The 16,079-nt window shown below is 39.9% G+C and overlaps 2 long non-coding RNA genes across 9 annotated transcripts in view, besides 1 other annotated feature; one reads left to right on the top strand and one right to left on the bottom strand.

The window, feature by feature from the left end:
- Positions 1 to 5,342: 5,342 nt before the first annotated feature.
- Positions 5,343 to 7,069, bottom strand: LOC100996740 (uncharacterized). Its single transcript, NR_148945.1, has one exon. It is a non-coding gene; the product is annotated as an uncharacterized LOC100996740 (long non-coding RNA).
- Positions 5,673 to 6,042: a silencer, noted in NCBI's record as "silent region_1258". NCBI's record gives its function as "represses an Ori minimal core promoter by ATAC-STARR-seq in GM12878 lymphoblastoid cells {active_cell/tissue: GM12878}" and the evidence as "EXISTENCE:reporter gene assay evidence [ECO:0000049][PMID:35858748]".
- The window catches only part of LINC01145 (long intergenic non-protein coding RNA 1145), a 51,954-nt gene continuing 41,742 nt past the window's right edge, over positions 5,868 to 16,079 (top strand). For 6 of the 8 annotated variants that reach the window (NR_111958.2, NR_156690.1, NR_156689.1 and 3 more), the window contains exon 1: positions 5,868 to 6,281. This is a non-coding gene — a long non-coding RNA (long intergenic non-protein coding RNA 1145). Of the gene's footprint in view, positions 6,282 to 7,188; positions 7,244 to 16,079 lie in introns of all 8 variants that reach the window. The other 2 variants (NR_156691.1, NR_111957.2) reach the window with 1 other exon arrangement.

The raw sequence follows: 16,079 nt of genomic DNA, 5'->3' as shown, positions 1-16,079 counted from the left end.
AAGTAAAAAAAAAAAAAAATCTTAAAAAACCTCCTCCACAAATATTGGTAAAAAGCTTTAGCCTTTGTTATGTAGGTCAACTCAACTTATCCCTTTTTCACCAGAAACACAATTTGGATAACAATATAAAGCGGAGATAAACCAGTGAGTTTGTATTTTTGTATTACTCTGTTTTACTGCCTCATGGTTAAAAACTTTTTTTTTTTTTTTTTTTTTTTTGGGACAGAGTCTCACTTCATTGCTCAGGCTGGAGTGCAGCGGGGCAATCTCGGCTCACTGCAACCTCCACCTCCTGGGTTCAAGTGCTTCTTGTGCCTCAGCCGGGCGCCACCATGCCCCACGCCCAGCTAATTTTTGTATTTTTAGTAGAGACGGGGTTATGCCATGTTGGCCAGGCTGGTCTCGAACTCCTGACCTCAGGTGATCCACCCACCTCAGCCTCCCAAAGTGCTGGGATTACAGGCATGAGCCACTGCACCTGGCCTGGTTAAAATTTTTTAAATGAGAAGTCATAAGATCTGGTTACATCACTCTATATGTTTGTGTATGTGTACATGTGTGTATCTATGTTATTATGTTATGTATATGTGATATTTTTCTACCTCCAACGTTATTACCAAACTAAAATACCCAAATTGGCTAGGGATAAATGAGCACTCAAACAAATAAGAATGTATAAAATTTTCAGAAAAGTAGAAACTGACCCAATTTTTTTTAAGTTCACATAATCTGGGATATTCCTTAGTAAATAAAAACTAGTTTAAAAAATATTGGTAAAATAAAAATAGAAACATTTTCAGAATTGTCAGCATACACTTGTTTTACCTGGCTTTGCTGATTAGACAAGTTTGTGTTGTTACTGTTAGATGTTTAAGGCCATAAAACCATAAATTCAACCTAAGAGTAGAATATGTAGTAAAAGTAAATTGCTTAATTGTCTGGTGTATGTCTGTTGCAAAAGTAAATAAGAAAAGATGTCTAGAAGGATTGTGAAAATCTTATCTTGTATGGTCTAAGCTGACTGAGATTGGATAGATTTATTTATAAGGTTTTATTAAAACTTAGTTTTAGTAATACATTGATTCAAAAGTAGAATTTGATCTTCTCCGTTAAAATGGTAAAGTTTTCTTGGAATGTTGGTCTGAGAATGTAAAGGGTATTTTTTTCCTTTTAAGTAATTGGCCTCAGAAACAGAGACTCTGTTTCATCAAGATAATTTCTTGAGTTTCATGTTGTTTTATTAGGTTTTTGGTTACTTAAGAAAAGTGAGTCTTCTCAATATTAAAGGAGCTAAGTTCTTGTTCACAACTATGTAATCTGAATTTGCCTTTAAAATCTTTTAATGGAGCTTTTATTAAATAGATAACTATGGTCATATTTGTTTTAAATGTTTTAAACTTTTTGACATTTTTGACAATCTTCCCAAAATCACATTCTAAGTTAAGTCTTTTTGACCTCAAATTAACTTAGGATTCTCCATATTGGACCCTCAGAAAGCCACAAAGAATTTTTTTTTTGTATGAAAGAGAGATTAAACCAATTAGATTTATTTAATATGCTAAATTATATGTGTAGCATTCAAATAAAAAGTGATGCTAAGCCATCTTTAAGTTATATTTATGGATATATTATTGGGATAAGTGTACAAAAGTTGTATGAGATTCCTAGAAATCTAGTATGTTATCAGTCATAATTTTGGTTATTATGTTAAAATGCTGTATGCCATGCTAACCAAATTTTCTTATAAATTGCATCATTGTAATGAACTCTCATTAGATTTTTTAACCATGGACATTTTAAGTCCTTGTCATCTGTAGACAGTTATTGTTTTAATTTAATTGTTCTCTAAAAGCATTTGAAATTAGCTACAGTCCAAAATGGCTTCTTCTTCAAGGAGATTTATGGAAAATACTCTTATGACTATTCTGGAATACAGGTTTCTGAACAACTTTAACGTCATACAATTGGACTGGTAAGAATTTCCAGAACTCTAATAAAACTGATGGGTTCATGTAACTACTAACCCAAGATCAAGCAAAACAAGATTTAATTACATGGTACTGAATGAACTGATGAGAATAATTTTTAAAATGAGTTTTTGTTGGAAACATTGCTAGTTCTTTAAATGTTTTGTTTTCCAGATTTCAGAAAACTTTTTTTTAAGCTATCTCTAGCTTACACCAATTCAGTAAAGAATACTTTTGTGCAAAATGGAAACATTTACTTTTTCTCCCTAACTTATCCCTCCAGAATTTGGAAACTATTTGTGCATATTCTTATTTTTATGGCAATGTATTTATTTGCATAAGTTTAATAAGAATCTGTTGTCTTTGTAACAGGACAAACTGGAAACACAGGTTATATCACCAAGGCTTTGACTGAAACATCATGTTTTCAGATATGACCAGAAGGCTTTAGGGGACTAAGGTTGGCTTTATGGAACCAATAAAGTACCATCTTGGAAAAACTGGCTCTAGGGTTCCCAGACTTACAGGTAAGTAAAGAATGTCACTGCTTGGTGGGTCTGGAAACCTTGGGATATTTTAGGGACCTCAAGAAGAGAGAAATTTATCTAAATCTATAAATGTAACAGGTGCAGACTAATGACAAGTTTTGGGCTTGTATCCCAGCCTCAGGTGGCTTTTAAAAGTTTAATCTGACTGGAGACAGTGGCTCACGCCTGTAATCCCAGCACTTTGGGAGGCCAAGTCAGGTGGATGACGAGGTCAGGAGTTCAAGACCAGCCTGACCAATATGGTGAAAGCCCTGTCTCTACTAAAAATACAAAAAATGAGCCAGGCATAGTGGCACGCACCTATAATCCCAGCTACTCGGGAGGCTGAGCAGAAGAATCGCTTGAACCCAGGAGGCGGAGATTGCAGTGAGCCAAGATCGCACCACTGCACTCCAGCCTGAGAGACAGAGGGAGACTCTGTCTAAAAAAACAAAAACAAAAAGTTTAATCTGAGATTTCTTATCTGACAAACGCAACCTTTAAAAGAGCCTAAATGGTCAATCACTACTCTTAACTGCACTTGTGTACAAAACCAGTACAAGTTTAATGAGATTAAACTTATTTAGCAAACAAATCAATCTGACTTTGATTATCTTTGACAGAAATGAGAGTGAATATAGAGAGAAAAGTTATGTTTCGGGAGAAAACTGCAGTGCACCCAATATTAGATTCTAGCTGTTTTTTTTTTTTTCCTGAGGTTTTATTATCTGCCTGCAATCTGCAATAGATCCTCAATTTTTCTAGCTTACTACAATATTTAGCTACAACACTCCAAATTAATATTTCATTTTTTTCCTGCTATTCTGGCTTGGAATCACTAAAATTATAAACTTTTCATTTCTTGAAGTCCTTCAAACTGAAACTGGATGACTTGACATAAGCTTCAGAAAAATTACCACAACAGCTTGTGTGTGGCCCATCTTTATGGCATTCAAACTGCAAACTAATCCAATGCCTCTTCTCACTCCAGCTGAAGATACTACAAGCCCAGCATCTAGAAATCTTATTGATCAGCTGCCCTCTGGGCTCAGAAACTGTCTTTATAGTTTGTTCCAACTATTAATCTTTTTTAATTTTATTTTTATAGAAACTAAACTTCCCACATTAAAGGCCTGATAGCTCACACTATCCAGGAAATATCCTCTGCTACCAAGTCCCAACTGATGATTCAACTGGTCCTTAATGAATAAAAGGTGATCAAACAAGAAAAGAGACTTATATTGTTTGAAGGAAAGATGAGTGTCTCTTCTTTCCTTAAACAAGAAGTAGTACTAACAAAGATTCCTTGCTAGGCCAAACTTTAGTCAGATGTCTATCTTCCTTGCAAAATCCAACTTTTTTTTTTTTATGTGGTACAATGTGATGTTTTGTTCTTTTTTTTAAATTTATTATTATTATACTTTAAGTTTTAGGGTACATGTGCACAATGTGCAGGTTAGTTACATATGCATACATGTGCCATGCTGGTGCGCTGCACCCACTAACTCGTCATCTAGCATTAGGTATATCTCCCAGTGATATCCCTCCCCCCTCCCCCCAACCCACAACAGTCCCCAGAGTGTGATGTTCCCCTTCCTGTGTCCATGTGTTCTCATTGTTCAATTCCCACCTATAAGTGAGAATATGCGGTGTTTGGTTTTTTGTTCTTGCGATAGTTTACTGAGAATGATGATTTCCAATTTCATCTATGTCCCTACAAAGGACATGAACTCATCATTTTTTATGGCTGCATAGTATTCCATGGTGTATATGTGCCACATTTTCTTAATCCAGTCTATCATTGTTGGACATTTGGGTTGGTTCCAAGTCTTTGCTATTGTGAATAGTGCCGCAATAGACATACGTGTGCATGTGTCTTTATAGCAGCATGATTTATAGTCCTTTGGGTACATACCCAGTAATGGGATGGCTGGGTCAAATGGTATTTCTAATTCTAGATAGAATGTTTCCTCTTATAACTCATAGTGAATATGACTGGACAATGAAACTATTTTGTAATTTCTTTCCTGAAAGGTAAAGGCGTTAGAACATAGAATCTTTCACTGATTCTACAGAATCTTAAGACTCCTTCAGAGATGGCAGTCATTCCTACCGTGCTGAACATCATGTTGTCACGGTGAGAATCAGAACTAAATTGATTAAGGGTCTGAAACAGTTTGGCACTCTTGGGCACTTATTCTGATAAGAAAGCTGATGAGACAGGGTAATGAAAAGAGGCTGCAAGAAATGACCATTCATGCATTCAGCCAACATTTAGGCCACCCTCCTGTATTCCAGGCACTGTACGTGGCACTGAGAATGCAAAGCAAAACGAGTCATGGTCTACTGGCGGGAGCCTTCTCAGCGGAGAAAAGATCAACAAGAAAAGTGCCTGCTGGAGACCTCTCCTAGGGCATAAACCAATATAGAGGTGGGGCAGCTACGTCAGCCTGAGGTGTCCTTAGGCAGAACAGAAAGTGAGAATCAGAGCAGTATCTCATTTCTGAACACCTGGATTGTAGCTTTCCCTGGACTGACTGTCAAAGGAGGTGGTTTTAAAAAGCAAGCCAAACAGGTTTCCATCCTTTAGGAAGACCCTGGAACGTGCCAGTTGATTCTGACAATTTCTCATGAACAGAAACACCTAGGAAGGGAGAACTGGTGAGTCTTTTCAAGAGGAGGAAGTCCCTCAAAAGGGGCTGTGTTTCGCAAACGGCGCCCCAAAAGGGCTGAAATACTTCGATCTGGAGGAAAAAGACTCAGGCACTGAGGGAAGGGGAGGGTGCACATCTGGAGTAATTTCAAGGCTTTTTCCGTGTTATCTGAGGTGGCAACAAGTAAAGATTTGTTCGTTTTATTATTTTTTTAATTTTTAAAGATTTTCTTTTCCCCCCTTTTCCCCCTCCCGGCCACTCCGGTTTGTGTTTGCCACAAGACTCATAATTCCTTTAGAAAGTGGAGTCGAATTCATAAAAGTGACGGGGGGAGAGCGCGGAGAGGGAAGGCTGGGAGCCCCAGGGAGTCTTCACTACCTACACTGCCGCTCAGCTCCCGGCGCGAGTGGAGGTCGGGGTGGGGAGACGCGACTCCTGCCCGGGATGGCTGACACTCTGCGAGCCCCGGCGGCCCGCGGCCGGGCCGGGTGACTAGGCGGAGGGCGCGGAGGGTCCGCGGCGGGCGGGTGGCGCTGCAGCAGCCTGGGCACGGCTGCCGCCGCCCGCGGGCGAGAGTGTGCACGGGTGTGGAAGGCCGGAGTGCGGGCCGTGAGGGGTGTGATCGCTTGAGCCGGAGCGGGGCTCGCCCCTCGTCGGCTTCCGCCGCCCAGCCCGTGATCGCTCTCCGGCCGTCCCCGGCACCCTCGGCCCCCCACGGCGGTTGGTCCCGGCGGGGGAAGGAGAAAGTGAGACTCGGTGTCATCACCAATCCGTCGCCAGAAGGGGAGGAAACTGGAATCCAGCAGCGGCGAGCAGCAGCTGGGCGGTCACATCTGGAAATGGAAAGCCGACCTCCCCCTCCTCCTCCACCTCTTCCTCCTCCTCCTCCTCCTCCTCTCACCCAGGATCACTTCCGAAACCACTTGGCCTTCAGCCCCTGCCTCGGCCAGAGGTTTCATTTTTAACTGAATATTTACGAAAGCTGAAAGCGTGCGAGGGGGGTGGGGTGGAAATAGCGGCTGCTTCTTTTCCAAGGATTTATTTAATGGGGATGTGTTCAAGGCAAGACCGAATTCAGAAGGATATCGACGTCGTGATCCAGAAGTCCAGAGCTGAGGACTGCCTGTTTGCAGGTGAGTTCTTGCTTTTCCAGAACCTCGGACCCAGCGCCCCCTTCCCAGTTCTCTGACCGCGACGTGTGTGGCTGGGGGTGGGGTGGAGGGTTTGCACGTCCGCATTCCGGGGTTCATTTGGCAACAGCTGCTGCAACGAACGCGGGAGCCAAAAGCGGGAGGGGGCGCCAGCCTCGCCCCTTCCCCTCCCCCCACCCCCAAGTCTGGGGCAGCTACCAGCTTTGAGGGCAGAACCCGCGTGGCCCGAGCGGGGGTCTAGGCGAAGGGGCAGTGCGTGGTATTTCCAGCCCCGCGTAGTGCCCGAAGCCTGCAAGCACGCCTCCTGGGTTCCAGCAGCGGCGGCACAGCGGGGTTGGTTGGACCCGCCAGGTTTGCGTAATGGGCTGAGCGGCGGCGGCCGGGAATGGAGCCTGCTGCGCTGCGCTCGTAAGCTGCGCCCGGCGCCGAGGACCCCCGGGGGGCAGCGCTCGGCCCATCTCCGGCCCCTTCGGCTCCATCTAGTCCCCTCCGACTGGCAAAGAGAAGGGATTCCTCGGATTCCCAAGGCACCCAGCGCCCCTGCCTGGGGGGTCGCCTTTCGTCCATTTTGCTCCCCCGGGAGAGAGATCGGATTTTGCTTTCGCTGCCGCGAGCCCGGCTGGGGCTGCTTCCGGCCTCCCCGACCGGGAAATTCCCGCCGTTGCCATGGCACCCGGCACTTGCTGCCGGGGGCGGCCTGCCGCTGCACCCAGTCGGGGGCGCGCCGCATCCCCTCGGACGCTGCGCGGAGAGACCTCGCCGCCCTCTAGCCCTCGCCTCCCGCCCGGCCAGGCCTCCCCTGACTCCACCAAATGGAGGGCCCAAGTCCTGATCGGGGTTAAAACAAATCCACTCCAGGGGTAGCTTTTGACAGGACTTTCTGTTTCAGATTTCAGGTACTCAGACTCCACCTTTACTTTTACCTATGTTGGCGGCCCCAGAAGGTATTTATGGGTGTAGAGTTGCTTCATTTCCTGTTCACACTCTTGTGTTTCCTTTGTTCTTAGCGTGTTCCGTGTTCGGGTATTTTGGTTGCTTGTTTGATTACTGTGGCTTTTCTTTACCTACAACCCAAGCCTGACGTCCCTCGGTTTTAAATAGCAGGGGGAGGGGAATCAATGTTTGATTCAGGTGTTTCGAAGACCATGCCACAGGCGATGAGCAGAACTCTTCATGTTGAAACGGTTCTGCTACAGTACTAGATTGCTCTCAGGCGATTTGGGGTTGATACAGGCAAGCCGGTGCAAAACTGGAATACTGGATATGAAGTGAAATGTATAAAAGACATAAAATGTCACAAAATAGTTTGATCACAAGTGTTGATTTTCCTGGTGAGTTGGGGCTGCGTGTTTCCATGTTTTCTGAAGGTTCACATAAACATGCAGCCTGCCAATTCTCTGTACATTTTTTTTTTCAATGAGTGGTATTTCGGTTTTCACGTTTAGTTGTAAGACAGAAATTGGAGACTTATATGTAGCTGGAGTGGATGACTTCTTTCTTTTGGGGGAAGAATGAGAGATGCACATTTCGTTAGTAAATTGTGAACAACTTGAAACAAACCCAAATCCAATTGTGAATTTAAGAAGTAGAGTTAAAATGAAAGGTAGCCATTCAAATACTATGCCTTGCTGCCTTCACTTATTAAGTTAGGATTTTCTTCCTTTTAGCCCTTTAGGGATACAGTAGTTTAAAAGAGCAGTAGCCACATATGAAAGGATCAGATTTAGCTTAGAGGGAATTCCTTAGACCAGCCCTGCTGTTAAGACTTGACATTCAATATTGTTTGATCACATTCCAAAATATAGCTTAGCTAATGGCAACATTTGTAAACATATAAATTGCAAAAGAAGCTTTCTTGTGTACATACATTTTTAAAAGCTTGAAATTGATGTGAACTTTTAAAAACACGTAGGATCTGTATTACATTCTACATCTCAAAACAAATTTAATTAAAGTGAATATCATTCCAGTATATACAATATGCCTAAGACCCAGAATTGGCACATTGATTTACTAGTTGAAAATATAACAGTATTCACCAAACTTCAATGTATACTTTTTGGAGAGAATGAAATTACAGTATTTCTTAATTTACTGTAATGTCATCTTTGTAATTATGAATTAATTCAATGAGAGGAGACTTGGTTGATTAAATTAATGCTGGTCCTACACATTATATCTAAAGGATCTTCGTATATGACTACTATCTTCTTGGATTATTTTAACAGTTAAAATATACAAAGTGGCCCATTAAAAACAGAGTTGACTTTTCACCATTGCTGTTTTTCTGGTGAGACATGTGGAAAGGAAGGACAGGTGGACTTTTCAACTAACTAGCTCTCTGATTTTTAATAAGATACCTCAGTTCTTTTGGCCTCAGTTTACTTATCTGTACAAAGAGTAAGTCATATGCTTAATCACTAAGATCTGTTAGATACTGCAGTTAAGATTCTTTATCAGCAAATTACTGAACTCTAGTGTTAACATAGCTAGAGGTGGAAAAGGGAGCAAGACCAGGTGTTGGGATGAATAATTAACTAATCGAGATAACATCAGTTTTCACCATAGGAACAAGTACCATGGTTGCTCTTAAAGTAAGAGATGTTTCCTATTTTATGTAATTTTACTAAGGGATAATGTTTTCTTTTGTCACTGATTTAAATGTACCTGGATGTTTCTCAGCCATTTGGCTAAGATCGAACACAAGTAATACCTGGGCCTTTTATATCTAATCTAATGTAGACCAGCCTGTTAAAAGAGAAAGACAATTGGTTAAACTGCTGATGTGTTGCTTTGTCTTCTCAAAAGCTTGTTCTATAATACAATATGTAAAAAGTTGTTACAGTGTAGTAACCGTAGATAATCCCTTTATGATTTGTACCTAATGGCGAAGACCTTTTATTTTCTGAAAATAACGTGTTTGTTTTCATTACCGACATTAGAAGCCAATATTTATTAATCTATTTCTCATCCTGACATTTCAGTCAGACTCTTAAAATAATCTTGCTGTGTTTTGATTTAATGTGCTTATCAACTTAGAATATTGAATTAATGTTAATAGTGTCATTTTAGGTGAACTAGACTTCATTGAAGGAGGTGGGAGCCTTATGGAGAGAGAGTATATGATTATCTCTATTTGTATTTAATTACCATTTCATCTAACCATTCAGAACGTATTTCAAGAATAATTTTAATTCAAGTTGTAGATAAAACTTACTATACCATTTTCATTTTGACGCTTTCCAAGAATGAGATACACGGTATTTTAAAGACAAAGATTGATCTTACATGTTACTATTAAAAAAAACACGATAATTTTGTTCTACATTTATACTTTTAATTTTTCTGTGGATAATAAGAAATGCCAAGAGTCGATTGTGTCCATGCTGGCAAGTGGCCTAATAAATTGTCCTTTTATTTGGTGGTCCTCAGAGTGGCAGTTAACATCTTGCTATTCTGCCTTGTGGACTTGAGGTGGAAAGGTTCATGGAATTATATCCTTGCTTTTGGATGTGCAAACTGAGGCTCAGAGAGTTTAAGACACATAGTCACTTTCACCAATTAAATGATGAAGCTGCCATGTAAACGTATTTCATCACACTCCCGAGACCTTCTTCTCCAGTAGTGTTTTCAAGCTTTTTGAGCATGCAGACACTACCATCAAAAAATTTTGTAGAGACATACTTGAGAGTTACAGTTTAAAGAAAAACAAGGTGTAATTATTTGGTTATTAGTAGCATTTACATATGCTTGAAAACTTCTGCTATATATACAGTAAGATTAATTTATTCTAACAATGATCTTGATAATCCCCCTGATTCCCAGACTCCTTGGAATAGCTCCACAGCTATCAGTGGTTCTGCCACAGGTTCAGAGCCTTCCCAGTACTGCCTTCTTATTTGAGAGGTGTGCTAAGAGCTATAAAGCAGAGGCTTCAATTGTACACAGTTTGGAAGTTTAGGCAAAAGTCATTTCTTCCCTATATTTTGTCATGCTTATCTCCTGTCTCTTTCTGTTTTACAGATTAGCAATAAACTCCTTAAAACCCAAAGGTTTGGGCTTCTGTTCCTTTCACTTGCAGTCAGACATGGAGTTAGTGGTAGAAGAAACAGAAGGGGTAACCTGCATGGTGACAGCTACTGAGGGGATGGATAGGAAAGCAGGCTGAGTCCCTGGGGCCAGTGGTTACCAAAGCCAAGGAGAGAGCAAGGGGAGCCCAGTGGGCCTGGCCATGGACTGCTCTGGAATTCCGAGTGTGAACTTTCAGCCAAGAAGGTAGTGTGAAAATATTACTGTGAGGTTTTAAAAGTACACAAATAACAATTGTTTTTTGTAAAAAGAAAAAAAAAAGTTAGAAAAAGAGATATGCCAAAAAGAAGAAAGTAAAAAATACATGACTTCTGTCTTCTGTTAACATATTAAAATTTATTCTTTTAGATTTTTATGTGTCTATATACATGTAAAATATATATGCATCCCCAAATTGTATTATACTCTTTTGAGACCTCACATTTTTTTTCACCCAAGAATATAACATTAATTTCTTTCCTTTAGAAAAGACATGAGACTAAAGAATGTTTATTGTGTTGAGAGTTTCCCAATCAAGGAGTATGACTCTGTATAATAATAAATCTAATGTTTTATTAGAAATTATAATAAAATTAGAAATTTAATATTTGGCAGGATGTGAGTTGCCTGCATATGTACACCCTTTATTATATGACTAGACACTCTTTTGTGTGGTCATGGATATATTGGCATCTTTTGAAGTGTATCCTTTTTGTTTCAGGAGCTTCTGTCTAGATGAATAGCAAGTGTGACACTGATAATAGTAATCGAATATTCCTCCAAGTACAGGCTCCTTCCTCTTTCTCCTGGACCTTTGCACATGCTGCCTGGAAAACTCACCCACAACCTACTTTCCATCCTCTCCTTCAGCTCATCCCTGCTCAGCCCTCTTTGTTGAGATATTTGCCAAGCCAGATTCTCTGAGAAGCCTTTCCTGGCATCTTCGTCTATATAATTCTGCTAGTTGTTTCTAAAACTATGTTGTTAGTGTATATTGTAATCACCTATTTATGTCTGTTTGACTGTGAGCCTCTTGGAGATGGGAATTCTCTCCTATGCATTGCGGTTTCCCCAGCCCCTAGCACACTGTCTAGCCCAGTATTCCTTCTCAGTAAGTAGGTGTTGAATGACTTACAAAATGAATGCTAAAAGACCTGGTAGACAAGAAGGAATTTCTTAGCCTAAATGACCAGATGTGGAGAAGATACTCAAACACTTCAGGGTCCCCGATCTGGTGATGTCACTTGCAGTGGAATTTCATATGAATCCAGTGTGACAGAAGTTGCCTAGTCAAGTTGTAAGTCCTCTTCTCTGGGTCACATGTTCAAATACTTTTAGGGGACAGATAATGCAATATTTAAGATACAGGAAGTGATGAGGACTGTGGCACACTGGAGAGTTTGGACTCCAAGAGTAATTAATTCAGTTGAAAAAATCAACAGCACTCTGTTGATCAAGCAAACTTTCTAGGGGCCCTAATCCACCGGGGCCTGCAGTATGTAATTCCATAACTCATGGGATGCCATCAAGAGAGACAATCTACTTGATTGCTAAAGGGCCTTTGTTTTCTTTGGAGTTCCCCAGGAAGGAGAAATGTATGTGTGTGCAGGGGTGAGGAGGGGGGAGAGTGAAGAAACAATACTATCCCCCTAAAAAGGTTTGTCAGTTTTCATTATGAAAGAAGATCAAACGTGCCCACTCCAGAAATCTTGGCATATGCAGTTATTTTGAAGCCATTCAGCGTTCTTCAAGATGTCACAATGAAAAGAGTGATGATTTTTTAAATAAAAAATTAACATGTTTCTCTTGGCAATGGGACTTTCTCACCATACTTTTAAGTTACATCACTTATTATATATTCAAAATACTGATTTTTTAAAAGTATGTTCCTTGGAGCCCTGGGAACCTGCCTCAGGAGCTGGGGTGGCTGTGGGGAGGGAGTATGAAGGGAGCTGAATGAGTTAGTCAGAATCTGGGTCTTCATATCTTTTTTAAAATTGTGGCTGCTTTTTTCTGTTCTGTATAACAACTCTTTTTGAAAACAGTTTCATTGTTGAGTTTTAAAACCACTGACCTAAAATAACCACCAATTTAACGTAAGTATAACTTCATTGAGTTTTTTTGTATTAAAAAAATTAAACTCCATTTTCTTCATGGATTAAGGTGATCCTACTAGGATATTTATTAAGCATTGTCTCTGCTGTTCTTTTTGCTTGCCTTGCTTTATCCCGTGTTTCCAAAAAATACAAATAGGTATTTTGTCAGCTATTTTACATTTTATAGCAGGGAAAACAGAGGCTTGGGTGATTTAAGTAAGTTACAGTTAGTAAGAGCCATAGGATACATTTCGGTGTAAGTCAATGTTTATGTAAGGCTTAAGGGACATTGGTTGAATTGGCATGACTAGAATAGTTGGGAATGTTTGGGAATGGGGAGAGATTGCTAGTGGGATGTCTGCCAGGGGCAATACTGAAAATCTGCTGGTTGGCAAAGGTAGTGCCTGAGCCCAGTGCTAACCATAGTAGTTGGAAAATTGTGTACGTTGGCTGTGGAATCCTTATGCAAATATTTGTCCAATCCATCTAAATTTCTCTCTGCAGCATTTTTAAAAAGACAGATAGCTGAAATTTTGTCAGTCCTAAAAATATTTTGTATTTCTCTGCCCAGATTTGCATTTGGGTAGATCGTGCTGTAGAAGATATATCTTGCTTTAAGATAGCTGCCACTGATTAGTTTATTTTAGTCTATTTTAATCAACTTATTGCCTTGTAATCTTTCCTTTTTCATTCTCTAAATTTCTGAAATTCTATCTTTCATGTTCCCCAGGAAAGACTAGTAAGACGTGTTTTTATTAATAAGACATTATCCTCATTTCACCATGACATAATTTGGGCTTTCTGTTCCAAGTTATCCTACTTGAATGCTGGACACTTCCACCTGAATATTTGTCATTTTCACCTCAACCCAGCACATCAAAACAATCCCTTATTACCTCTTTAAAAGAAGCTTCTCTCTCCAGCCTTTTCCTAGTCAGTATCACATCTTTTGAGCCAGGCATGGGGATTGCAGTTTCAGATTTCACCTCAAGTCTTCCTCTTCTGGTTCCTGAAGCTCCGGCAACCTCTACTTTGAAACATTGTTGGCCTCTTCATCCCATCCCATGTCAATATTTAGCCCATGCCCTGTTGGCTTTGACTTAGCTCAATCACCTTAACCCAGTGTCTTAAAATTCTTGATTTTGAGTTTCTTATCCATCCAGTTTATTTACACCTGAACTCTTTAAGCATGAAATTAATCATTCTTCTGTTCAGAAGCCTTCGAATGTGACCACAGCTTTTTCCATATAGACCTAAAACTTATATTCTTGGCCTTTGAGAGCTGCCTTCCCTACCCACTGATATATGTTTCTCGTGCTTCCTAACACCTACATGCTTCTGTTTGCTTAGTGACCCCCCCCACCCACTCATCAGCAGTTTGTATTAATTTAGTGTAAAGCTGTGTAAAGTTTATTGATTGATAATATCTGTGTCAAGATCATGGTTTTTATTATAAAGAGCAGTTCATTGTGTTTTTTCCTTGCCCATGAATGGTATCTCTGTTCATTAGAATACATAATATTTTATGCATAGGAGGATAGAGTGAGAAAATGAGTAGAACAAAGTAAGAATGAGAGGAGAGGATAGTGAAATTTGAGGATAGGATGAGAATGTAAATAGATTTATGTCCATCCATTACAAGATTAATAACCACAACGATAAAAGTCTTGAATGTTATTTATTTGCATATGAGTGATATTTCAGTTTGTGGCTGATACCCTTTTGGTATTAAATGGAAGATGACAAATCATCCAATATTAATTTTAGAGGGAGACATCTATTGAAATCTTTGTGCAGTCAGGTCAAGTTTCTGTGTACAAAAATTAGCAGAGAGGTTGCTGCTGGTTGACTTCCCCTAGGATGGTGTCTTTCTGAACATTTTGAAATGTAGATTGAAAAGGTGGATTTGTCAACTAACTCTGAAGTGCTGTAGTTAGTTGTGTTTTCATCATTGTTTTATTATTTATTTTATTTTTAAGATGGAGTTTTCGCTCTTTTTGCCCAGGCTGGAGTGCAGTGGTGCAATCTTGGCTCACTGCAACCTCTGCCCCCCGGGTTCAAGTGATTCTCTCGTCTCAGTCTCTCAAGTAACTGGGATTACAGGCACACACCACCACGGCCAGCTAATTATTTTGTATTTTTAGTCGAGACGAGAATTCACCATATTGGCCTCAGGTGATCCGCCCGCCTCGGTCGGCCTCCCAAAGTGTTGGGATTATGGGCGTGAGCCAGCCACGGTGCCCGGCCTGTTTTATTGTTTGAAAAACAAGTACAGGTTGTTATTATCCAAGAATTGTTGATAGAGTATATACTGTATTTGAAGTGTAGAACTGAGGCAGAGGCTGATTAATATAACTAGTTTACATTTGTTAGCCTTTCACATCTGTGAAGGAATAAAGTACAGACAAAAGTGGAAAACAAACCAGGAAAAACAAATTGTGAAGCACAGAGCTGCTTAAAAGAAAAAAGTCACAGAAATAAGTCAGTATTTTGTTTAGAGACTAGAACTCCAACTGCTAGCCAACTGCCTAGAATATAGTAAATATTTTCTAGTTTCTTAAATGACTAGTAATATTCCTACATTATGTGATGGCATTTCCCAAACTGTTTAATTAGATGTTAGATTTGTAGCCAAATATGTCTAGGAAATGCTTAAACAATATAAAACAGTTTTAATGATTGGCTTTTTAGAACGTTATATATTAGTGTGCTTTATGCATATCCAAGAGGTGAGTGAGGTATTTGGGGTTTTTCAGACTTACTTGATTACAGATCTGGAGTATCTCAAAACAGTTGTTTTGTGGAAAACACTCTGGCAAACTCTGAGTCTTAGTCATTAAAAATAGTTTTTGGGTAAACAAAAGTGTAATAGAAATGGAAATTACTGATTCACATTGAGCCATGAAGAATTTATTTTCAGCAATTTTTATAGAAGTTGCTTTATGACAAAGAAAGCTTTGGTTAACTGGCATTTGGCATTTCATGCCCCTAAATTTTCTACATGAGGATTTATTTCTCTGGTTCTCTCACTTTCTCACTCAGTTATACTGAATTCATTTATGATGAGCGCTCTGAACCATTCTTATTCATCAAAGCCCTGAAGTTGGCAGAGCCCTCTCTGGTACCTGATTAGAAGTCCGTCTTCTGTCTCATAGGGAAGTGTTAGAGATGGATAATGTTTCTGTGTAGCAGAAGTAGTCATTATGTCCCCTTAAATTCGGTCACTTTGACTGCAGTAGAGCTTCTTAGTGAGCAGTCTGTGATGGAGTATACTTTCGGAGAAGCTCATGGTGGGGGAAATCTGGAATTTATCTAAATATTTCATTTCTTTGATAAATTACATTAAAAAATTAATGAGAGTATCTATTTGGTGAAATCATTTTCCTCCACGTGACCAAATGAGAAATTTAGTGAAAGATTTAAAATCATTTTTCAGACTTTTTCCACATTAGTCGGGAAGCAAACCCCTTTTTTAAGGCAATGTCAGTTATTAAGCTTTAGGGAACCACATGCCACTTTAGGTAACACGTGATTGGAGAGATTGAAGAGTGAAGTCCCTGCTTTAAAGTGTACTCCTGTGGACACAGTAATACATATATTTAAAATGGTTCATGTT

Source organism: Homo sapiens, chromosome 1 (genome assembly GCF_000001405.40).
Source record: "Homo sapiens chromosome 1, GRCh38.p14 Primary Assembly".
Lineage (NCBI taxonomy): Eukaryota > Metazoa > Chordata > Mammalia > Primates > Hominidae > Homo > Homo sapiens.
Note: the sequence above shows the minus strand (reverse complement) of the source record. Positions and strands in the feature narration are given on the sequence as shown.